The sequence below is a fragment of the Homo sapiens genome, chromosome 11, assembly GCF_000001405.40.
Source record: "Homo sapiens chromosome 11, GRCh38.p14 Primary Assembly".
In the NCBI taxonomy this organism is placed as follows: domain Eukaryota; kingdom Metazoa; phylum Chordata; class Mammalia; order Primates; family Hominidae; genus Homo; species Homo sapiens.
This window is the reverse complement of record NC_000011.10, coordinates 45,646,246-45,669,903: the sequence shown is the minus strand read 5'-3', so window position 1 is coordinate 45,669,903 and position 23,658 is coordinate 45,646,246. Positions and strand designations below refer to the sequence as shown.

Sequence of the window (23,658 nt, the reverse complement as noted above, 5' to 3'; positions counted from 1 at the left end):
GGGAAGGGTGCCCTTCTCCCTGGCCTCTCAGCCTGGATTTGAGGCTGGGGTTAGAAGTTGCAGCCAAAGCCAGATAGGCTGTTTGCAGAGAGGCCTTGGGACACTGTGGCAATGCTTTTGGGGGCCCTGGAGCCCAAGGGCCTCTGTGTTGGGGAAGATGCCATTCTCCCTGCTTCTGGTGGCCTCAGCCTGGAGCTATGGGAGCATCAGGGCTTGTCCCTTGGCCTGAACATTAGCTCCCCAACAAGGGACATAATGAGGGAAGCCTGGTGAGGCTAGGATGAGGCACTCCTTTAAGTAGCTGCTTTGCCTCTGGCAGTTTCTTAGAGCAGGAACGGAGAACATGCTAGAGGTGAATGCAGGTGACAGGTTGGTCTGGGAGTAACTTAATGTCCCTTTGAGGGATTTACAGAAACCCTTCTAGGTGAAGTAGCTTTTCAAGGGGCTTTGGCTGGAGGACCTGGTGGGGCAGGAAAGGGGTTTCAGTGAGATGCGGTGTTCCGAATCCATGAGCTGGCAAAGCCTGGCAACCTCAGACCCATTGACCCATGGGGATGGTAAGAGGAGGAAATGGGATCATATGCACAGTGGCTGGCAGAAGTAAGGCCCCCACCTTTTTGTTTTATTTCAACAACAAAGAGGTTGATTCATCCAGAAGAGGAATTCATCCAGAACAGGGCAGAAGTGGGGGATAGGAGGCAAGTAAGAGGGCTTTTCCTGAAAAAGGAGACGCAGTTGGAGGCTCAATTCACTTCTGCATGGCCTTGGGTAAGTCACGCAACTTCTCTGGGCCTCAGTTTGCCCAGCTGTGAGATACGGGAGTTGGTTCAGCTCACCTCTGGGGCCCCTCCGGCTCTATTATGAATGGGTTTCCACATCACCTGCGGGAAAGGTCTGCTGGGCCTGTCTGTTTTTGCCCAGGTTTTTCTGGTTGGAACTTTTTCTGCAGGTGCTGTGGGCTCTTGGGCCTGGAGTCTGGGCACAGCTAAGCCGTCTTCCGTGTGCTTGCTGCCTTGTCACTGTCCCCCATGAGACATGGGAAATTGAGGATCGCCGCGGCAGATCTTAAATCAGAGCCTGGGCCATCCATCTCCCAGAACAGACTGAAATAACAAGGTGGGTGGCACAGATCGCCTCCACATGGACAGTTGAAAGATATTAAAAAGCCAGAATCTTGAGCCCCCCAGATCCCTTAACAAATTTCCAAATACCTCAGGGACCTGCATGCAGACGAGAGAAGAGGGAATATCTCATTTTAGAGTTCCCTAGGAAGGCCAGAGGGCTGCATTTCAGGAAATGCCTCTGTCTGAGGGCTTCTGAAGGCCCTGCCACCTGCCATTGGCCTCCCTAGACTGCCTGACCTCCAGCTCCTCCCTGCAGGTGCCCCCACTAGAGTCAGCCTGGCCAGAGTGGCAGAGCAGAGTGCCCAGGTATGTGGAAGCCAGACTGCTGTGGCGCGCTGTTGCTCACCAGCTCTGTAAATTTGGGAAAGTTGCTTAAACTTTTCAGCTCTCAGTTTCCTCATCTGTAAAACGGGAATGACATTGGTTACTTCAAGGGGTTATTTTGAGAGTTAAATAAAATAATTCACACAAAGCCAACAGCACAGTGCCTGGCCCATCTTGAGACCTCAAACATTAGCCACTAATATTAATCTCCCTCCTGTCCCATAAATGAGCCCACCCAGCTGCTGTTTCCTTTCACAGGCTCTCCTGCTCTTCTGCCTTTTTACATTCCAACCATCTCTTAAGCCTCAGTTCAACTCTCTCCTCCTCCAGGAAGCCCTCCCTGAATGGCCCTCCAAGGGTCCACCTCCCTCTGACTTCCAAGGCTAAATTTTTTTGTATTTGATTGTATTTGTAGTGACTTTTCTTTGCTGCTTCATTGTGTAGGATCCAAACTCCTTGAGCACAAGCCCTTTGCTTCTGTTTCCCCCTCCCCCTTTTCCCCACGGCACCTGTCACAGTGCAATCCACACCATAGGCACTCCTAAAACACCCATGTTTGTCAAGTGGGGGATTCCAGGAAATGGGAGACAGAATCCTAGTGTTTCTGAGAGCGGGTCTTTTGTCTATTTTTAGAGTTTAAATGTTCTTCAAAAATTTCCCAAATTCCACTCTGTCTTTACATTACAACCACACCAATCTTTTCATGTCAGCCAGATGTACTTTTCCCTCCTCTCTACCCGAAATACACCAGAATTTGAAAAATGAGGCGCTGGATCTGGTAGTGCAAGATAGAGAAAGCTTTCTCTAAACCCTGACTATTCTCGTCAGCCTGAAAACTTGGGGAGGGATTAACTCTGGGTGAAAAGGAAGGTTCTGATGGCTCAGCCCAAGGCTATTAGAGCTTGGTTTTTTATAGAGGGACAGTCACGATTTGGAAACATGAAGTCTTAGCTTTTGGAAGGTCAGCACCACTCTTGTTAGGCATCTCAGTACGCTGCCACTCCCTGGGTGGGGGTGGGGAGGGGGAAGGCAGGTGGAGAAACAGACTTGGTAGCCTTGGAGTCAGGACTGAGGACTGACTCTGCCATCCCAGGTGCTGTGGCTACAGGAATGCGCACTGGAAGGTGCTGTTAGCCCCTCCAGCTTGATGGGGGTGGAGATGGGGGAGAGGAGTTTATAGTTATGAGTTTGCAATTGTGACCAAGATAAATGACCATTTGGTCTAGTGGGACCCTTGGGGCAAGGGCCTTCATACCATCTGCTCTGGGTGGAGAGAGGGAGACCTTCTTGATGACCCGAGAGCCCAGTCCTCCAGGGAAGTGCAGCTGTCATGTTCTCCTCTTGGCGAGTGAGTGAATGTTTGTTCCTGGCTACCCTGAACGCAACAATGTGCAATTATTAAGTACTCACCCCCTTGCCAGACACTGCTGAATGCTCTACACACATTACCATCCAGTGTTCACAACACCCCTACAGGGTGAGGATCAGTACCTCTGTCTTCTGGATGAGGAAACTGAGCCGCAGAGAGGCTGATCACTCACACAAAGTCACCCAGCAAACACACAGCAGGTTCCTCTGACCCAGGAAACTGCTGTGCTAACCATTCTGCTGTGCTTCACTGTGTGGGATGGAGGCAGCAGCTGCTTGCCCATACATCGGGGACGAGGCTTTCCCAGAATGCCTGGAGTTTTCAAGCCATCCACTGCTCTCTGCGCCCCAGTCCAGGAGTGATGGAGAGCTATAGTCGGGAATCAGAGATTCCAGGTGGAGATGAAGGCTGACTGTTCCTCTGCTTCAGAAATAACCATTTGGTCAGAACTGAGGAGCATCAGAGGTTCAGCCAGACAAAGCACCTTCCTAGTCTCCAGATGAGGAAACAGGCCACTGGGGTGGGCAGCCTCAGTCATGTCAGATGTGGTGGCAGAGCTGGGACTCCTGGCCGTCCTCTCCAGCCCAGGGGCCACTGATCACATGATATTGCTCTGCTCATGCACCCTGCTTCTCCTCCACTCCACTCTGAGAGGTTCATCAACCAGTCCCTGGTGCCCATGAAGGCCAGGCCTGTGGAAGATGCTCAGTCAATATTTGTGCAGAGGATACAGGCCCAAGGTGCTCGGCTGGCCAGCTCTGTCCCCATCCCTCATCCATAAAAGCAGTGGTGGCTCCAGATTGCCACCTAGAAAGCCAGGGGCAGTCTGGTAGGAAGAAGGTGGGCAGTGTGGAGGAGCGGCCTAGAAGACGGTCAGCCAGCAAACCCACTCTAAGGTCCCATTAAGACACCCCCTGACCCTGCCCAAGAGGGACAACTGCAGCGGGGACAAATGATTCATCCCCACACTTGAGAAGCAGAGGGGCGGGGAAGGAGGAAAGGCTAGGGGTGTGTGTCAGGGTATTGCACACAGAGATGGTTGGCTTCAGTTCTGGGTTCTGAAGTCCCTCTGTGCCGCTGGCTGGGCAAGAGGTAAAGGACAGCTGGGCCAGGGGCCAGGCTGGGACTCCAGCAGGACTTCCGCGGCGAGGGGCGCTGGGGGGGCGAAAGGCTTTGGCGGCCCGGCCAGCAGCGCCCTCGGGGGTAAGGGGAAGGGAGGCTACGCGGAGAGGTGCCAGAGACAGCCGGTGCCCTTGCCCGCCGGCCGCCCGAAGTCCGGGTGGTGGGCGTGGCTGCCCCCGGCGGGTGGGTGGGGGCGGGCTCCGGAGCCTGGCTGCGGAGTGGGTGTCCAGGGCGCTCGCGGCTGGGGCGGCGCGGGGGGCGGGAAGGCGCGCGCCGAAGGGGTGGGGAGGAGAAGGGGCGGGCGGCTCGGGGGTGGAGCCGGGACCGCAGCGCCTGCCGCTCGCTCGGAGCTGTAGCCGCCGCTGCCGCCGCTGCTCTTGGCTCGGGGACGCGGGCGGGCGCTCCGAGAGGCTCTGGTGCCTGCGGCTGCTGCTCTCCTCCGGCGCCCGGGGCTGCGGCGCTCCGGGTCCCGGCCCCTGTCCCGGCATCTCTCGGGTCCCTGAGCCCCGGCCCCGGGTCCCGCGTCCGGCCGGAGAGAACGCACTCAGCTGCTCGAGCCGCCCCGGGCTCGCGCCCCCGGGCCATGAAGAGGGGCCCGTGAGGCGCGCGCGGAGTCGGAGGAAGAGGAGGGAGGAGGGAGGCCGAGGAGGAGGGCGCGGGAGGCGGAGGATGCCGCCGCGGCTGCTGCCGCCGCCGCCACCCGCGGGTCCCCGGCGACCCTGACTCCAGACCCGAGGATGGAGCCGGCGCTGGGCGCTGCAGCTGCTCCCGGCGCGTCCCCGACCAGGTATTGGCCGGGCCCCGCGGGCTCCGGGGCGGGCGGGAGCGGACACTCCGCCGCAGCAGCCGGGAGGGGCGCGGGCGCGGTGGGAGACGCCCCTCCGCTCGGGGACAGCAGCTACCGGCGGTGAGCGGAGGGGTGGCGGCGGCGAGGAACGGCGGCGTGTTGGGCGCAGGAAGGGGCTGCCGGGGCTGGTGGCCGGTGAGCGCCGCGATCACCTCAGCCCTCCCTGCCCCCATTCGAGGAGGGCAGCAAACTTGAGACGCGCGGTGGCCCCCGAGGCGCTTGGCTCCCCTCCGCTGCGGAGCGCACTCAGGGGCTGCTCCGGGCTCACCGTCCCACGACCCGCCTGGCTCGGGTCTGCGGAGGCGCCTTGAGACCCTGAGGTCCCCGCGCCCGCACCAACTTTCCAAACCCAGCTGCACCCGGAGGCGGGGGCGCCGCTCCCTGCTTCCTGCTCCCAGCCCTGGCCCGGCCTCCGCACCCAGACCGCTGCGATGAGCTGGGCCCCTGTGGGGCCGGAGCCGCCGGATGGTGCAGAGCCCACCACGGAAAGCCGGAACAACCCTCCCGCTCTTCTCTGGGTAGGACCCGGGGATCAGCCCCTCCCAGGCTCCAGGGACCCAGTGCTGGCTTTCGCGGTAACAGCCCAGAGTAACCCTAGCTGGGATGCTGGGCGTTAAAAGGCCAGGCTGCCTGAGGAAGGTAAGACCCGGGGGTCGTCCTGGAGTGGCACCTTGGCCTGATTTCAGGTGTGCCCCCTCCCCCACCCCGGGCCTGCCCTTTCACAGGACTGCCTTCCTCAGCTCTGGGGCCGGCTTCCTCTTGGTGGACTTAAAACTGCTCTTCGGCAGCGGACTCCCTAGGAAGGGCCACTCCTAGGGTCCAGGTGCCTGAAGACGGGCTTGGGCCGGCCATTGACAGGGAGCTGGAGGCTGGGGCAGGGGAGGTGGCTGTCCAGTCAAGGACAGAAATTCAGTCCAGCAACTTCTGGAGGGGTGGGAGGAGCTGGGGGCAGGCTTGGGCGCAGGAGTCAGGCACCCTGGCTGGGAGGAAGCTGCTTTGACCAGCACAGGGACGTCAGAGGCAAGCAGGTGGGAACGAGTGGGCCAGGTGTCTACCTCCAGAGGTTCCTCAGCCCCTTGCAGTGGGGCCTGCTGTCTCAGGCAGAGACCTTACCTGGGCAGGCAGTTCCCAGGCTCCTGTCCTCAGCAGTGGGGACACTTCCAGGCATCATGATGACCCTGTTTCTTTTTCAAAGTGCTTTCATCGTCATGACTCACACATCACATTCACCAGGGAGGTATCAGGCTTCCAACCTATTCAATTCCCCTCCCTACCGGGTCTTTAGGGAGCTGCTGGGGAAAGGAATGGGTGGATTTGCCCTTGAGCCTTGAACCCCTGCAGGAGGCCAGGAGCCTGGCATGGCACCTTTGATTTTCCTGTTGCCAGTCCCTCATCCTGGCGGTGAGCAGCCCTAGGCCAGGATGCTTCACAGTGATGGGGTGGGGAGGGGAGGGGCACCAGGGAGAGCAAGTCTCTGCTAATCATCCCCCAAACTCTGCTGGGTCTTCAAAATCATGGCCAGGTGCCACCCCCAGCCCCCTTCACTCAACACCCGGCTTCCCCATCTCAAAGCAGAAACGCATTTTCCCTAAAATCCAAATCTCCCTCTTTGCTGAGTAGTTGCAATGCTTTTGGCCAGGGGTTTCCTCCCCAACATCCAAAGTCAAGCTTCCCTCTGTCCTGGCCCCTGAGCCATCTCTGTGAGTCACAGGCCCCTGCTGGGAGAGGGATGTATCCCCCTGACCACTCTCCCCCCAACCCTTGCCGACAGGGCCCTAGCTCCTGGGCAAGGGTGGTGCTGACGACACTGATAGAGGGGTGTGTGTCAGGCCGCATCGGAGGAGGAGTACCTCTGTGTTCCACTGAGTCTGCAGGAGGGGCTCAAGTGCCAGGTCCTCCCTGGGGGCCAGGTTCATGCCCTACTAGATTCCCCTTGCCTACCCCTCTGTCTCCCTCCCTTGCCCGCTGTGGATCTCTCTTTACTTTCCCAACTCCACTCTGCATTGGTGTGGGGAGGGAGCATTTGATATTCATAATCTGGTTCAGAGAAGGTCCCGAAGCCCTGAGTCACTGTATGGTTTCCATGGAAACAGACTTGTTCAGAGGACTCGGTGTAGCGGCTGTGGTGGGGGAGAAGGGAAACATATAGTAAAACCAGGCTCCACAAGTGTGGCGGGACTTGGACCAACTCCCTTCGGTGGGGACTGTGAGGGGTGGGCAAGGCTCTGGCCTCCCTGTCAGAGGGGCTGTCTCTCCCCACCCACTGGGGTCCTGCCATTGGATGCCGCTCAGCTGCTGCTGTGACTCTTGGCAGGCTGCTGCTTCTCCCACGGACCTTCTGGCTAGGTGCCCGGGCTCATGGCTACCTCTCCCTGCCTCAGTTTTCCCCTCTGTAAATGGAGAAAATAACACCGACCTGATAGCATTGTTGTGAAGGTCAAATGCAGTAATATATGAGACACACTTAGAATGGTGCCATAGTAAGTGTTCCAAAGCATCATTCCTAGGAATTAAGTCAGGACATTGGAAGAAACTCCCCAAGCATGCTCACCTAGATCCTTACCCTAGGTCCCAGCAGGTGGTCCTGACATCTTGCTGGGCTGGCCTCCTGCTTTGAAACAGCCTCTCCCCAGCGGCCCCGGCACACCCCCCGCTGGGAAGCAGCCAGCCATTTTTTTCTACGGAGCATTTGTTTCAGGTTCCTGAGGGCCTGGCACAGTGCTAGGCAGCCCTGGGTTTTGTTCAGACCCTACCTGTCTAGGAGCCTTGTGGGAGTAAATCCAGATGGACAGGCAGCTCCCTGCCTCAGCCTTCCCGCTAAAGGCAGGGGTCAGCCCTGGAGCCCCTAGGGGTTGAGGCAGATGGAGAGGAGCAGAAGAGGTCCAGGCAGAGATGGTGGCCCTCTGTGACAGAGTAAAGGGGTTGGGGTGGGGCAGGCCACTGTCCCTGATCCTAGAGAGGCTGGTTCATCTGGCTGGAGAAGCATCTGTCTTCCTCTTGATCAGCCAGAGAGGGACAGGGAGCTCTTCAGAAAGGTAACAGATCCTGCACACTCTCCTAACCCCAAGTTAGAACCTCTAGTGCTCAATTGTTCCCAGCATGCCCTGAGAGTCTGGACAGGCTTGGGGCTCCAGCCTGAGCAGCTGCTGATCTGTTATTGTCCTGCCTGCTGGGGCAGGGTGAGGGGCTCCCCGCCCCAGTGCCTGCCTCAGCAGCATTGAGGAGTGCAGCTAGGGGAGATTCTGAGTGCCACTGATGCCTTACCCGGTCTCCCTTACCGGCCCTTCTCTCTCACTGCAGCCCTCCCCTCCATGGCCCTCAGGTTCCCTGCTCCTTGGCAGGGCTCCCTCCTCCCCTCCTGGAAGATGGGCTTCAGCTCCAGGCTCCTTAAAGACATCCCATGCCCATCACAACCAGCTGTCAGAGCTGCAAAGCCTGCTCTTTAGCTGCCGACCCTTCTCTTTCACAGATGGGAAAACAGATTTCTGGGGTTTGCTTGTATGGCCAGAGCCCAAGCTAGTTGTAGCCTCTCTCAGCTACACACCAGCCCTGGGGATGCCCTTCCCTTCTTGCTGGCTCTCCAAGCAGCCCCAGCTGCTGCCGGCACCCCCATGGACACCCCTTGCCAGCTCTCCGGTTCCTGCCAAGGTTCTACCCCCGGCAGGTCTCTCTGGACTGTTTTGCTGTCCTCATTGGTGTTCACAACACCTTCCAATTTAATATCCTCTGCAAATTTCATTAACGGACTGTTTACTCCCTCTCTCAGGATCATTAATGAAGATGTTAGATAAGATCTGACCCAATGCTGAGGCTTGGCAGCCCTGCCCCCACTCCCAGACTTGCGGCCCTCCAGCCCCTTCCTCTGGGCTTGCCTTCTCCACCCGGGGCCCTTGGGACCTGCCCCCTCCTGCTATTATGCCCCATGACAAGTGCTTAGGGCCAAGTCTGTTTGAATTAATTTTGTAAGATTACTCGAGGCGCTGTATCAAATGCTTTGCTAAAAATCAAGATATATTACCCTGCCTGCGTTTCCTTCATCTACCCGTCTTGTAATTCTATCAAGAAAGCTATCAAGTTTGTCAGGCATGATTTGTTCTTTATAAATCCCCACGGTGCCACATGGGGGCACAGGGTTCCCGCGTTTTCTAAATGTTTAGAGATTCCCTCTTTGTGTTTGCTCCTTGATTAGAGCTGGAAGGCGGTGGGCTGGGAATTGTCAGGAATGCTGTCTCCTTCTCAGGGATGGGGAAGAAGGCGTGGCTTCTTTTCTCCCAAGTTTCTGCCAGTGTCAGTGAGTTGTTTAGGACTCACTGAGTCCCTGCAGTGTGTGGGGGGCCCCAAGCTGGGCACTTGGGGAGGAGGGATAGGATAGAGCTAGGGGAGGAGATGGAGGGGGGCTGGTGCTGTCCTTCAAGGATTCTGCAGGGCAGGTGAAACAGACAGACGAGCCTGCTGCAGACATTCTGAAGGTACCACTGATTGAGAGATTACTGTGTGCCAGTCACTATGCTAACAGCTTTATATGCCAGATGCCATTTAAGCCCCTCTCCTGCCCTGGGAGAGGAGTGTGACCTCCCTTCACCTGAGTACCTGAGAATCAGAAAGTGTTAAGGCTGCCCAGGACTCAAGGTCTGGGTTTCACCCTCTGTTTATGCTGTTATGCTGCTCCTAGCCATTTAAGACACACAAAAAGGGTCAACAAAGCTGAATGGAGTAATTTGGACATTTTAGGAGGTCAGAGTGGGGATGGAAGGGAAGCCTGTAGGGAAAGCTTTGGAGAGGTGAGGACCTCACTCGCATATGAACCTCACATACAACCCCCACAGCCTGAAATCCGTTCGTTCTCTTCCTGCCACTTCTGAGTTGCATGAACAAATCTCTTAACTTCTCTGAGCCTCAGTCCCTCACCTGTGAAATTGATTCAGCTGTAGTTCTTACCCCTAGGCATGTGGAGAGGATTCAATGAGGTGAGGCGTGAAAGGGTCATACCATGGTGCTAGGCCGCCACTGTATATGAGCAGCCGCCATTGTGTTCTACAATGGAGGTCCCTGTTGATGGCAGGCAGAGACACTCATCTGGTTGGCCATATGCCCAGTGGATGGAGCTGTGGCCCCTCCTAATGCTCTTCACCCAGCAGAAGAGGGGTGACAGGGTGAGCCTCACTGGCATCCTGGCCCAGGGGCATCCTTGGGACCAGCTGTGGGCTGGTGATAAGCTTTGGGCTTAGAGCAGGGAAGCCTCAACTGGGCAGAGAGCCCAAACCCGATGCCCCATTCCAGACTGTTTCAGGCCAGATGGTAATAAAGACATTCGTTGGTGTCTTTTTGGTGGCATAGGATTTGGGCATTCCTGGGCTCCCTGGTCATAAAACCACTCAAAGTTCTCACTGCTTGGCTAGCCCAGACCCAGAGTCACTGTGTGGGGAGCACAGTGTGTTTGGACTTCTGCCCATCAGGTGCAGCAGTCCCATGTCCACACCCACTTGGGATCATTTTCATTCTTGTCGTTCAGCTGGGGAGGGAAAACCCTCTGGGAAGCGGTGAGATGGCACACACCTATTGGTATGCCAGGGGAACCAACCAGGAAGGGCAGCATTGGCAGCCCTCAAGCCCCACCAGTGGATGCCCCAGGGACCTGACCCTGGGGGATGGCCAGTAGGTATCAGATGCACCAGTATCTGGGTCGGGGGTGAATGCTGTGATCGAGATCGGCACCAATGTGTCCTGGGACCCTGGCGGCAACCTTGGCCCCGGTGCTCCCTCTCCCTCCCTCTAGCTGGGTGATGCTCTTGGGTGTGGCCTGGGGGTTTTAGCTCTGTGATTAGGGCCAGGGCTTGGGATTCTTTAGAGCCGAGTCTGAATCCTAGCGCCACCACAGACTAGCTGTGCGTGCTTGAACAAGTTCCCACACTTGCTGAGCCTCGCTGCTCCTCGTCTGTGAAAGGTGGCAGTAGCCCCTGGCCTGTGGGATGCATCCCCTGACAGAAGCCAGGTCTGTGATCATCTCTGAGTATCCACGTCGGCAGCCTCCTCCATCCCATGTGACAGTCTCAAGGCTCTGGGTCCTATTCATTCTCCACCCCCAGTCCTCGTCCCCACGGGGCCAGCCAGGCTTAATGTGCAGGTGGCCCAGGCTGGAGACTCCTGGATCCAGAGACAGGCGGGCCCCTCTCCCAGCCTGGCCGGCAGCAGCTGCCTGAGTTCCAGCTCCTGTTGATGTTTCCCATCCTTGAAGCTGGGAGGATGGGCCGGAGCCCCGGTGTCCAGGGGGTGGGGCCTCGGTACTATTCCAACTCTGGCTGTGGCTTCTCGGTGGGGCGGGGGACAGGAAACCGGGGCTTTTCCGCCCAGTGTCGGGGCTGTAGAGTCCCGCCTACCGCAAGCCAGGCTGTACCAGGACTGGCCTGAGACAGGGAACCGGGACCTTCTGACTCATCCCTCCCCCAGAGGAGCTGGGCACACTGGGGCCTTGTGTTGTGGCCAGGAGGTCAGTCACTCTCCCCACTGCTGGGGAAAACTTTCCCCTCAGGTCGGGCCTGGGACCACCCCCCTCCCACTCCCACCCTCCACGGCAGGATGTGAGGTGCCTTCCTTACCCCAGACAAGGTCTCTGCAGCCACAACAGTCAGGGTCTCCAACCACGCAGGCTGCTGGCGCTTCAGTGGAGCAGGCTACGGCATCTGTTTTAACTTTTAAAAACATTTCCAGGCCAATGGTGCCCCTCTGTGCATTTAGTAGTCCATAAAAATCATGGTCATGGCTCTTAATAAGCATTTGCTCTGTGCCTAGCACTGTGTTAAGCTGTGGGCATCCATCGGCCTTCTGTCTCACTGCCCAAATATTAGAAAGATTCTGTGATTGTTTCTCCCATTTCCTACATAAGGACAAGTGAGGCCTATAGAGGTTAAGAGCCTCACGCAAGGCCTCATAGCTATAAGGCAACAGCAGTTGGATTCAAATCCAGGCCTCTGTGGCCCCACAGCTGGGGTGCCTAACTACCCCTCCGACTGCCTCCCTGAATGCTTGTGGGTACCTTCTCCAGGAGGCTTGAGACATCCATGGGTATCATGTGGACATTGGAGTGCTCTGCCCTGGAGACACCAGAGCTCATAAGAGGCAGCTGGGCAGCCCTGCTGATGGTGAAAAATCGGTAGACCAATTGCTCTCCAGGTGCTTGTCTTGGAAACCATGACTGTGAGAGCTTGTCCCTACTGGAGGTGCTCAGAAAATGTAGTGGTTCTGCCTGTGGGGCCCAGGGATTCTAGGGATTGTTCGCAAGTACCATGTTTGTGGTGGTCCAGGTTCTGGAGAGAGGGTCCATAGACCTCACAGTGTTTCAAGTTGAGGTGGGCATGACCCCAAAGAGAAGGGGTCCCTTGGGCTGACCTAGACCACAGAGGCCGAGTCTGGACCCCAGCAGCTCACCCCTCTGGAAGGTTGCACTGGTTGGATTGTGTGTTGGCATACTGCTCACATGGAAGGATGCTCTAGGACACTGTCCCATGAAACTCGTCTTTGGATTTCTTAGGTACAAAGTCTTGAGGACGAGTTCATGGTGGCACACGCACAGAGCTCTGTAAGAGCTCCCTTGGGAGAAATCTTGCACTGGATTCAGTGTCAGGAATAGCTGGACATCTCTTGAGTGGATGCTTTAATCTTTATCTCATGGGTCCTGTGAAACAAGTAAATGAAATATTTCCCTTTTCCTATTGGCTAGCTCAGTAGCCCACACATGGTGTGACTCTTGTACACTGACTTGGCCTCTGGTTGTTTCAGACTCTTATACCCTTGTTTTCCCCTTGCCTTGCCTTCATTTTCATCACCTCATTTTCCTTAGGAAGAAAAACGCCTTGCTGTTTTATGCATTTTAGCCTTAACTAAAACATTCATGGGGGATTAGTGCTGGCTACGTCAGAGTCAGGGAGTAAGCATTTCCCCTCTGCAGTCTCCATCCTAGAGGCCTGTTCGCCAGCTCCTCCCTCCCTGTCCCATTCCCTTGTCCCTTGCTCCAGTTCTTGGGACCCCAGAGCCTTGGGACCCCATTCATCATGGCTCCTGAGTTTGTCCGGAAAGACGATGTTCAGGTTCTTGCCCTGCCCTCACTGTGCTGCTTCTTCATCCCCCAGGGCTTCACAGTAGTTTTTTAGGGAGAAATGTCTGGGAGAAGAGTCATTTCCCCATCCCAGGGCTCAGCTGCTCCCATAGCCACAGGCCCCCTCTGAAATCCAGCTTTATTTCAGCTCCGTCCCTGTATCTCAGCAGTCCCCAGCTGCCTACTGTCCTTAGTGGCCCACCTGAGCAGACAAAGCCCATTTCTGGCGGAAAAGCAGTGCCTTTGACCCTGGTGCCTTGGAAATGGGGGTGGGGAGAGCTGGCTGGCAGTGCCTGGGGGGGGAGGGTGGGAGGCACAGTGAGATGCCAGGGCTGATTTTCAGTACCGCACCCTGTCATCAATCACCCCTCTACTTCCTACATGGAGTGGCTTCACTGTGTCCCCCAAAATTAATAAACTCAAACTGAATCAAAAAGCTCAGTGTAAACGGTGTCTCCTCCCACCCTAGTCTCCTCGAGGCCCCCTCCCTCTGGGACATCTCCCGTTACTAGCTCAGAGCAAGCTCTTTCAGTGATTGTTTATGCATATATACAAATATACATGTCCACCTCCTTAAACAAATCTGAAAAGGTGGTGTACTATTACACACATGTTTTCTGGCTCTAGCTTTTGAAACTTATATATGCTGGGTGACTGTTTCTATCAGTACGTTCATGTCTGAGGAGGCTTCTCTGATATAGTCGGTTGGAAAGACAATTCCCTGGACATGTTAATAATGAAGGGGTTAAGCTTCTAGGAAAGAGTGGGGTGCCCAAGCTTGGGCTTTCAGAGGTTCGGGAAACTTCTCAATTGTGTGTGTAAAATTGTGGGCACTAATGGCATTTCTAAGGGGAGGGATTGTGGTTCGAAAGGTCTGTGGCCCAGAAAAGGTGAAACAAGGCCTCAGCCCTGGGTTTCATGGGATTTCTGTACAGCAAGAGGTGGGGGCTAACTTGGCAGAAGGCAGCACCGCTAGGTTCTAGGGCCGCCACCCCCTGGCGCTGCCACAGATCAGGCCGAGGTGGGGGACAGAAATGCCCAGCCCTAGAATCCTCCTGGAAGATGACTGGGTTTTTCCCACTCCCAATGGAGGGTCCCCCTGTCTGCTGTGTGGGTGGCCCCAACTGTCCCTGAGAATGAAGTCTGGGGCCTTCCTGGGATTATAGAGAACACCAGGGTTAGAACTGGGAGGCCCTTCAGTCATCACTGGATCTATGGTGTAACTGAGGCACAGAGAGGCCAGGGGGTGAGTCCAAGGTCACCCATCCGGAGGCCATGTGGGCCAGTCCTGCCTGTGACATTCAGGTCTGTGCTCCTTCCCTGCCAGAGCACCATGAGATGAGCGGGAGAGGCCCTGGGAGAAGGCGAGGCTGCCTGTTGCAGCTGGGCTCTCCCGGTGCGGCTAGGGTGGGGGTGCACGGAGCAGAGGCCGCAGCCCGGGTGGGCGTGCCATCCTCACACCTCACTGCATCTTGCAACATCACCTCCCGCTGGCTGCATCCTCACATCAGGTTGTAGCCAACAGCCCCAGAATTCTGAATACAGCAGCGATGACGGGACTACGAGGCTGCACCGCAGGATGTGGTCACTAGAGGGCAGCAGGAAAGCCACTGCGGTGGCTCAGCAGGAAGAAGTTCCCAGGCCGGGAGAGGAGCTGCAGGAAGAAGGGGCGGTGGGCAGAGCCAGACCCCGTGGGCTGCAGGATGATTTGTTCTAGGCCCTTTCCTGAGACAAAAAGCAAACCAGACATTTGGTGATGATGATATTAATTGACATTTAGTGAGTGCTTACGCTGCACCAGGCACTGTACTCACTAATTAGTCCTCACAACAGCCTTGTTATAATTATCCCCATTTTTGCATATGCGAACATAGAGGCCCAGAGAGGTGAAGAAAGCTAGCCAAGATCTCTCAGCCAGTAAGTGGCTGAGCTGGGATCAGCAGGGCTGGTGTCAGAGGCTGGGTTGGGTCTATATGCCTGGCATTGACTAAATGCTTTAAGACCTTCAATTCTTACCAGCACTACTGTAGCTATGACCACTTTATGGATGGGGAAACTGAGGCTCAGGGACAGCTGGTGAATCACCCACGCCCACACACCTGCTGAGTGACAGATCCAGGTAGGCATGGTTCAGGGGGTGAGCTCTGTGAATTACAGTTTTCCAATATAGAGCTGTTCACTGCTCCCAGTCTGTGCCCTCATCTCAAGTTCACTGATAATGAAATCTGAGCTTTCTCCTGGGAGTGAAAGCTCACCAACTTGCCTGCTTTCTAACAGAAATGATAGATCGTGGTCTCCTGTGTCCAAGGTTTGCTTGGATTTTTACTAAGCAGAGGTAGAGGGAGGCCAGGCCAGAGGTTGCTAGAAGCCTAGGGATGGGCTCTGGGGGCCACAGTCTGGCTTGGAGGATGAGGGCATTGAGGAGTCTTTTGTAGTGGCTAAGGCTTCCTTGGGAACAACAGGACCTGGCCCCAGGGCCTCTGGTTTCCAGGGCAGATGCCTTTAGCATACCAAGGACACTTGGCCAGCCCCAGGCCCAGCTCTGCCAGGCTGGGAGAGCGGGGACATTTCCAGGAGGGCTGGACTTCCCCCATCTTCCCGTTCCCATTCCCTGGCTTTGCCCTCCCCGGGGGTACAAGGGAATGGCCTGTGGCTGGGCCTTCAAACACATGCCCCTCCTCGGTGTCCAGGCCACACCTTGTGAGGCCGAGTCTCGCTGTCTTAGGGATTTATAACATCCAGCTGCTTCAGTGACTTCTGATTTATTAGCAAAGCAGCAGCTTCCAGTCCTGGCCTTAAGTTTCTCTGGGTGGATGAAGAGTTGGGGGAAGAAACTTAAACGGCCCCCTCCCCAGCAAGATGGCAAGATGTTTCTCTTTAAATAAAACCCTAGGGTGAGTTCTGCTTTTGGAATTGGAACCCCAGAATTAAGTGAAGACTCCTTAAGGATTCTGTTTCCTGTCTTGATGAGGACCAAGGAGGGTGTAATATGAGTGGAATTAGGGAAAAGGATTTGAACGTGGACTTCCTAGCACGTTGCCTGGGCTGGAATCCTGGCTCCTTATTATGGGTGTGAGCTTGGGGAAGTTATCTAACCTTGAAGGGCCTCAGCTTCCTTATCTGTAAAACGGGGTTGTGACAGTATCAACTTCATAGAGCTGGCATGAGGGTGCGATGAGCTGATGGCTGTGAAAGAAGCATGTGCCTGGGAGGAACATTGTGAATGCCCAGCAAGTGCTTGCCTTCCTTGGTGTTATTTGACCCATAGCATCTAGAACAGTGCCTGGCACATACAGGAGTTCTGATAGATGTCTGTGAATAAATACAAAGGAAGCGTATCCAAATGAAATGATGCTGCAGCCAAAGAACAGACTCCTAAATGACTTAAAAATATGACCTGGCACTATTATTGATGACATTCCCTGTCTGTTTCTTGAAAGCCATTCACATTCACCATGGGGCACTGGGGCAGAGCAGGCCTGCACTTGCAGGGGTCAGGTTTAAAGTAGAGGGGCCTTTCTCCCTGGATACCTGGCCCAGCCCCATGATGGAGGCCAGCATCCTCTGCCACTATGGGATGAGGTCGGGGTGGGATGCAGTGTGGTTGGGATTGTGGTTTTTCTCTGATCACGTTGAGAAGTTCCTAAGACTCTAAACTGCCCCTTTCCCTCTTGACTGCTACTTGGTGATCTGGTACTGATTCCTAAAGAAGTGAAATTTCATATTTAAAACACGACTTGATTTCTCCATCTGAACAGTGGGAGTGAGGACCCTGACCTCCGAGAGTGCTTATAGGGAATAACACAGTGCTAGAAGTTGGGTGAGCTGAGCCAGGCAGAACTGCAGGTTTGGGAAAAGAGGATCCACTCACCCGCTCCCAAAGGAGTCACGTCAAATAGTGGGGTGTGGGAAGAATCTTCACAAAGCACGTGAGTTCACCCTATCAGCTGTGAACCAACAGATCCACAGGACCAGACAGCAAAGGGGAGGAACATGCTCTAAGTCTCAGAAGCATCTGCCTGCCCAGTCCCCGTCATGCTGATTCACAAATGGGCTGGGGCCAGTAATGGCATGCATGTTTGCAGGCCAAATATGTTTAAGCTGGAGGAACAGGAAGCCAAATCTCCTTAGAGGGAAAGAGCTGGACTCTGGGGAACCTACCAGATGGGGGTTAAAGCAGGCCTGTGAGCTCAGGCCGGTTCCTCTACCTCTGTGCCTTGGCTTTCTCGCCTGTGAAGTGGGCAGATATTGGCTTCCACATCTGGTTCTTGCTAGAAGGACACGAGCTGATGCAGGGAAGGGGCTTGGCGCAAAACTGTCAACTGAGATAATGTGGCGATCTTGGTGTTTTAATTCAGACTCTATGAGGTGCATCGAGGTCAGGAATGCTCCCTGGTCCACTTTCGCTTTGAGTTTCAGGTAGCTGGTGTCACTTCGGTGTGGTTGGAAGAAGACTTTCTCCCCAGCTGCATTCCCGGAGGCGCCCTTTCGACCTGGAGGCCGGGGTAAGCCCCCCTGCCCTTGCTGACTTCTGCTAACCCACTTCCTGGGGAATCGCTGCACAAGTTGAATTTTAAAGGGTTAGGATTATTTCATGGATTTAAATTGCAGAACCCTGCCAGTCTCCCTGCCTGCTGGGTTCTGGTGTGAGCAGAGGGACTGCGGTTTATTAGAAGAATGTGGTGGGGTGGGCGAGGAAGGTGACAGGAGTGGGATACAGTCCAGGACTCAGAGGGCCACACTCAGGGGATCAGAGATGGCACTGGGTTGGTTGGGGCGCTGAGTCAGGGATGGATCTGGAGAGCAGGCAGAGCCCTTATTGCCTGGCCCTCGGGGCAGACTGTGAGGCACAGGACACAGAAGGGAAGGAGTGGGGAGGGGGCACTGAGACCCCAGCTCCACCTTCTGAGCCCTTCCCCTCCCTGTCTTTTGCAGTCTGCTGGCCACAGGGCTGCCGCACTGGCTGGGACTGCCAGCTGGGCCTGGAGACGCTGGTGGCTGTGGACTCCCCAGCTTGGAGCAGTCCCTCTTTGGTAAGTGGTTGAACCCTCCTGTGTTCTCCCCAGGAGCAGCCCCAGCCCCCACTCAGGTCTGGTAGCTGAGCCAGCCTCCAGAGAGGGTGCCTACAGGATGCTCAGGTGGGCTCCTGGCCCCGGACTCTCAGCGGCCCCATTCGCTCTTTCTGCTTCTCCATGGTCCCTCCCCAGTCCCCCTTCTGTGGGCAGAGGGGACACAGGAGGTAAGAGGGGAGGCCCCTGACTCCCTAAGATCTTCTTTGCAGGCCAGTTCACTCTGTGTCAGTGGGGATTATGTCACCTCCATGGCCTGGACCCTTGTCCCTAGAGACCAGGAACAGACCCTGGGTGCTGGGAAGGGTTGCCTCTCAGCAGACCCTGGACATCTGTCTCTGCTCCAGAGACTCTTAGAGACTCCACAAGCCCCAGAAGTCTACATCTGGAGTAAGTGGTCACCTGCATCCATGAGTTGGAAGGGGCTTGACACAGTTGTCCACCTTGCCTGGCCGTGCTGGCAGCTCACCGACCATGGTCTGCAGGGGTCCTTCATGCTCAGGGGATTGGGGTCAGATGGAGGCATCTGATAGGGACTCTTCTTTCCCCTAGGGATGGGCAGAGGACAGAGGAAAGAGGACCACCTGGAGAACTGGGCGCCAGCTCGTGGGGGTGGGAGACGCTGGCAGTGAGGAGGGGCAGTGTTTGAGGCAGGCCCTCGTCATTTCCTCAGTGTGGGAGTAGGGGGAGTCAGGCTCTTGCCCCGTGAGGCCCCTCTAAGGAACTCAGAGCTCAGGATAAGAGGCTTCCGCAGCTGTCCGCAGGTTAAATCCTGGGGTGCAAGGAATGTTTGTTCAGCTCCCCAAAGCTCCCAGGAGTCCCCCAGAGAACGGTAGTCTAGTGTAGAAGCTGCTTAGGTCTTCAGGGTGTGTGGTGAGCACTGGACAGGAGCCGGGCCTTTCCCTGGGCCCCTTGGAGACCGGCTCTTCCAAGGGACAAGCCAGTGCCCCCGCCGTGGAGGCACCTGACCGCTGGCCGCCTTTGCCCACAGACCTCACCCCTTGGAGAAGCAGCCCCATGAAGGTGCCCAGCCATGCAATGTTCCTGGAAGGCCGTCCTCCTCCTTGCCCTGGCCTCCATTGCCATCCAGTACACGGCCATCCGCACCTTCACCGCCAAGTCCTTTCACACCTGCCCCGGGCTGGCAGAGGCCGGGCTGGCCGAGCGACTGTGCGAGGAGAGCCCCACCTTCGCCTACAACCTCTCCCGCAAGACCCACATCCTCATCCTGGCCACCACGCGCAGTGGCTCCTCCTTCGTGGGCCAGCTCTTCAACCAGCACCTGGACGTCTTCTACCTGTTTGAGCCCCTCTACCACGTCCAGAACACGCTCATCCCCCGCTTCACCCAGGGCAAGAGCCCGGCCGACCGGCGGGTCATGCTAGGCGCCAGCCGCGACCTCCTGCGGAGCCTCTACGACTGCGACCTCTACTTCCTGGAGAACTACATCAAGCCGCCGCCGGTCAACCACACCACCGACAGGATCTTCCGCCGCGGGGCCAGCCGGGTCCTCTGCTCCCGGCCTGTGTGCGACCCTCCGGGGCCAGCCGACCTGGTCCTGGAGGAGGGGGACTGTGTGCGCAAGTGCGGGCTACTCAACCTGACCGTGGCGGCCGAGGCGTGCCGCGAGCGCAGCCACGTGGCCATCAAGACGGTGCGCGTGCCCGAGGTGAACGACCTGCGCGCCCTGGTGGAAGACCCGCGATTAAACCTCAAGGTCATCCAGCTGGTCCGAGACCCCCGCGGCATTCTGGCTTCGCGCAGCGAGACCTTCCGCGACACGTACCGGCTCTGGCGGCTCTGGTACGGCACCGGGAGGAAACCCTACAACCTGGACGTGACGCAGCTGACCACGGTGTGCGAGGACTTCTCCAACTCCGTGTCCACCGGCCTCATGCGGCCCCCGTGGCTCAAGGGCAAGTACATGTTGGTGCGCTACGAGGACCTGGCTCGGAACCCTATGAAGAAGACCGAGGAGATCTACGGGTTCCTGGGCATCCCGCTGGACAGCCACGTGGCCCGCTGGATCCAGAACAACACGCGGGGCGACCCCACCCTGGGCAAGCACAAATACGGCACCGTGCGAAACTCGGCGGCCACGGCCGAGAAGTGGCGCTTCCGCCTCTCCTACGACATCGTGGCCTTTGCCCAGAACGCCTGCCAGCAGGTGCTGGCCCAGCTGGGCTACAAGATCGCCGCCTCGGAGGAGGAGCTGAAGAACCCCTCGGTCAGCCTGGTGGAGGAGCGGGACTTCCGCCCCTTCTCGTGACCCGGGCGGTGCGGGTGGGGGCGGGAGGCGCAAGGTGTCGGTTTTGATAAAATGGACCGTTTTTAACTGTTGCCTTATTAACCCCTCCCTCTCCCACCTCATCTTCGTGTCCTTCCTGCCCCCAGCTCACCCCACTCCCTTCTGCCCCTTTTTTGTCTCTGAAATTTGCACTACGTCTTGGACGGGAATCACTGGGGCAGAGGGCGCCTGAAGTAGGGTCCCGCCCCCCCCCCCCCCATTCAGACACATGGATGTTGGGTCTCTGTGCGGACGGTGACAATGTTTACAAGCACCACATTTACACATCCACACACGCACACGGGCACTCGCGAGGCGACTTCTCAAGCTTTTGAATGGGTGAGTGGTCGGGTATCTAGTTTTTGCACTGTCTTACTATTCAAGGTAAGAGGATACAAACAAGAGGACCACTTGTCTCTAATTTATGAATGGTGTCCATCCTTTCCCCATCCCTGCCTCCTGCCCCTGACGCCCATTTCCCCCCTTAGAGCAGCGAAACTGCCCCCTCCTGCCCGCCCTTGCCTGTCGGTGAGGCAGGTTTTTACTGTGAGGTGAACGTGGACCTGTTTCTGTTTCCAGTCTGTGGTGATGCTGTCTGTCTGTCTGAGTCTCGTGGCCGCCCCTGGACCAGTGATGACTGATGAATCTTATGAGCTTCTGATTGATCTCGGGGTCCATCTGTGATATTTCTTTGTGCCAAAAAGAAAAAAAAAGAGTGGATCAGTTTGCTAAATGAACATTGAAATTGAAATGCTTTATCTGTGTTTTCTGTAAATAAAAGAGTGCAATAATCTCTGTGTGTGATTGCAGGACATTCTGAATGGGTACGAGAGGGCCTCAGCCGGGTCTGGGTGTTCCTAGCTTTGGGGAGGACAGCGAGAGAGAGGTGGAGGTGGGAATTAAATGACAAGTCTGCCTTTCAGAACTCTTGTCACCCTCAACACTGAGTTTAGTTTAGGTTTTTGTTTTGTTTTGTTTTGAGACAGAGTCTCGCTCTGTCACCCAGGCTGGAGTGCAATGGCGCCATCTCGGCTCACTGCAACCTCTGCCTCCCAGGTTCAAGCAGTTCTCCCGCCTCAGCCTCCCGAGTGACTGGGACTACAGGTGCACACTGCCACACCTGGCTATTTTTTTTTTTTTTTGGATTTTAGTAGAGACGGGGTTTCACCGTGTTGTCCAGGCTGGTCGCGAACTCCTGAGCTCTGGGCATTCCTCCTGCCTCAGCCTCCCAAAGTGCTGGGATTGCAGACTTGAGCCACCTCACCCAGCCGTTTTTTTTTTCCTTCAGTCAGTTGAGACCGGGTAACTTATAGCCAGGGATAATGTTCAAAGTCTTTAACAAGTGGTATGGCTTGCTGAATCAGAGTAGCTGGAGGTAAGAATGACATCCTGGAATCCCTTCTTGTGCTAAATGTTACCCATTTAGTTGGTGGGTCTGGGTCTAGGATAGCCAGGGAGGGGGAAACTTCAAGGGGTGGGGTGCCTCAGGGCAGTGGCTGCTGACCCACAGACCTGGAAGTATTTGACTATTTGAATAACTGGTACAGGTTTACTGGTGTCTACACTGGCAGAGAATCTGCTGTGCTTCCTCCCCTTCCCTTCGTGGCAATCTAGCAGGTTGCTCCAGGCAGCTTCCCCAGCTCTTATTCCAAGAAAACCTGCCCCTGGGGTGGCTGCAGGTCACAGCTTTGTTGTCCTGGGACAAAGGAGTGTCTGGTGATTAGGCAGCCCCAGGGGTCCTAGCCAACTGGAAGAAGGGCTTCCTGAGGAAACACAGTCCTGGGCTATTTTATATGTGTCAGGAGGATGTAGACAGTTCAACAGCTCTAGCAAATGCCTTAACTAATAGTGGCTTAATCAAGATAGGTGATTTTCTTTTGTAAAAAATTTTACTGGGGTAAAATAACAGAATGTAAAATTTACCATCTTAACCTTTTTAAGGTGTACCATTCATTAAATACATTCACAACGTGTGCCACCATCCAGCTCTGTAATTTTGCTCATTTTGTAAAACTGAAACTCTGTACCCATTAAACAAAAACTCCCCACCTACCCACCCACTTCCAGTGCCTGGAAACCACCATTCTGCTTTCTGTCTCTAGGAATTTGACTACTCTAGTACCTCATGTAAGTGGAACCATACAGTATTTGTCCTTTTATGACTGGCTCATCTCACTTAGCGTGATGTCCTCAAGGTTCATCCATGTTGCAGCATATGTCAAAATCTCCTTTCTTCTTAAGGCTGAGTAATATTCTACTGTATGGACATACCATATTTTGCTTATCCGTTCATCCCTAGATGAACACTTGGGTTGCTTCCATGTCTTAGCTACTGTCAGTAATGCTGCTGTGAACATGGGTGTACAACTGTCTCTTGAGACCCTTCTTTCCATTTTTGGGCATATCCCCAGAAATTGAATTGCTGGATCATGTGGCAGTTTTATTTTTAATCATTTGAGGAACTGCCATACTATTTTCCACAGTAGGTGAACCATTGTACATTCCCACCAACACGGCCCAAGGGTTTCAATTTTTCCACAACCTCACCAATTCTTGTTATTTTCTTTCTCTTTTTGAAAGTTAGCCATCCTAATGGGTGTGAGGTGGTCAGATAGTTTATTTTCCTTCACTCTCATTTAAAAGGCATAAGCTGTTCAGGTCTGGTATGGTGGCTCCCAGGTCATGTGCCCAGATTTCAGGGTCCTGCCTCTTTCTATGTTGTTGCTCCATCTTTCTAAGGTGTTCCCCATGGCTATGTGGTCCTAGATGGCTTGCTAGGCAGCAGGAAGGAGAAAAACAGGAAAGGATGCTACACCTCTGCCATGTATGAGCACAACCTTAAAATTATAGACATCACTTTCACTCATGTCTAATTGGCTACAGCCTGGCCACATGGCCATTCTTAGCTGCAATGGAGGCTGGGAAATGTAGTCTTTTATCTGGGTGGCCATAACTGTTAAGGTGGCTGATGAGTCCAAAGCTGATCTCCCTGAGATTCAGTTTCTCTTCTGCACAAGACAGGCAGGCTAATTTACACTGTCATTCTTTAAGACCAGGCAGCTGACTTGGAAAAGCCTCTGTCAGGACTGGTGGCCAGGTCCTGGGTCTCTTCTCAGCCTGTGATCCACAGGAGCTGCTTCTCCAGGGTGCGATGAGGAAGTTGACTCATCAGTTGGCTTCATGGCATCAGTGCCCAGATAGGCCTCACTCAGTGCCCCTGGCTGGCTGTTCCAATACCCAGGGAAAGCCTGCTCCAATGGCCACAGCTGGCTGACCCTTCCCCTCTTATAGTAAGTGATGCTGGGACAATTGTCTTCACCTCTGACTGCTCTGTGGTGGATTGTCCCTGAGCCAGAGACTTCTTTCCTCTGGGTAGGTGGCTTCAGGTTGGAAGTGGGAGACACTGGAGATCTTGGCCTTGCTG

At 55.4% G+C, this 23,658-nt stretch overlaps 1 protein-coding gene and 1 long non-coding RNA gene across 5 annotated transcripts, besides 2 other annotated features; one reads left to right on the top strand and one right to left on the bottom strand.

Moving 5' to 3' along the window:
• CHST1 (carbohydrate sulfotransferase 1) lies at nt 4,282–22,215 on the top strand. Of its 4 annotated transcripts, none has more exons than XM_006718356.5 (5): nt 4,282–4,726; nt 17,298–17,383; nt 17,814–17,911; nt 18,939–20,174; nt 20,814–21,025. In XM_006718356.5, the coding sequence occupies exons 4-5, from the start codon at nt 18,981–18,983 to the stop codon at nt 20,916–20,918; spliced, it is 1,299 nt and encodes a 432-aa protein (XP_006718419.1). In that variant the 5' UTR covers nt 4,282–4,726; nt 17,298–17,383; nt 17,814–17,911; nt 18,939–18,980; the 3' UTR covers nt 20,919–21,025. The 4 variants fall into 4 exon arrangements, with proteins under 4 accessions (XP_006718419.1, XP_016873948.1, NP_003645.1 ...); XM_017018459.3 differs by having other exon boundaries at nt 17,292–17,383; NM_003654.6 differs by having other exon boundaries at nt 18,939–22,215.
• Nucleotides 6,440–7,093: an enhancer, noted in NCBI's record as "H3K4me1 hESC enhancer chr11:45684361-45685014 (GRCh37/hg19 assembly coordinates)". NCBI's record gives its function as "activates a minimal SCP1, AML or CMV promoter by ChIP-STARR-seq in naive H9 embryonic stem cells {active_cell/tissue: H9 hESC(naive)}" and the evidence as "EXISTENCE:reporter gene assay evidence [ECO:0000049][PMID:30033119]".
• Nucleotides 8,474–8,975: an enhancer, noted in NCBI's record as "H3K4me1 hESC enhancer chr11:45682479-45682980 (GRCh37/hg19 assembly coordinates)". NCBI's record gives its function as "activates a minimal SCP1, AML or CMV promoter by ChIP-STARR-seq in naive and primed H9 embryonic stem cells {active_cell/tissue: H9 hESC(naive and primed)}" and the evidence as "EXISTENCE:reporter gene assay evidence [ECO:0000049][PMID:30033119]".
• LOC124902666 (uncharacterized) lies at nt 17,207–18,592 on the bottom strand. Its single transcript, XR_007062662.1, has 2 exons — nt 18,350–18,592; nt 17,207–17,435 (listed from the first exon to the last, which is right to left on the bottom strand). It is a non-coding gene; the product is annotated as an uncharacterized LOC124902666 (long non-coding RNA).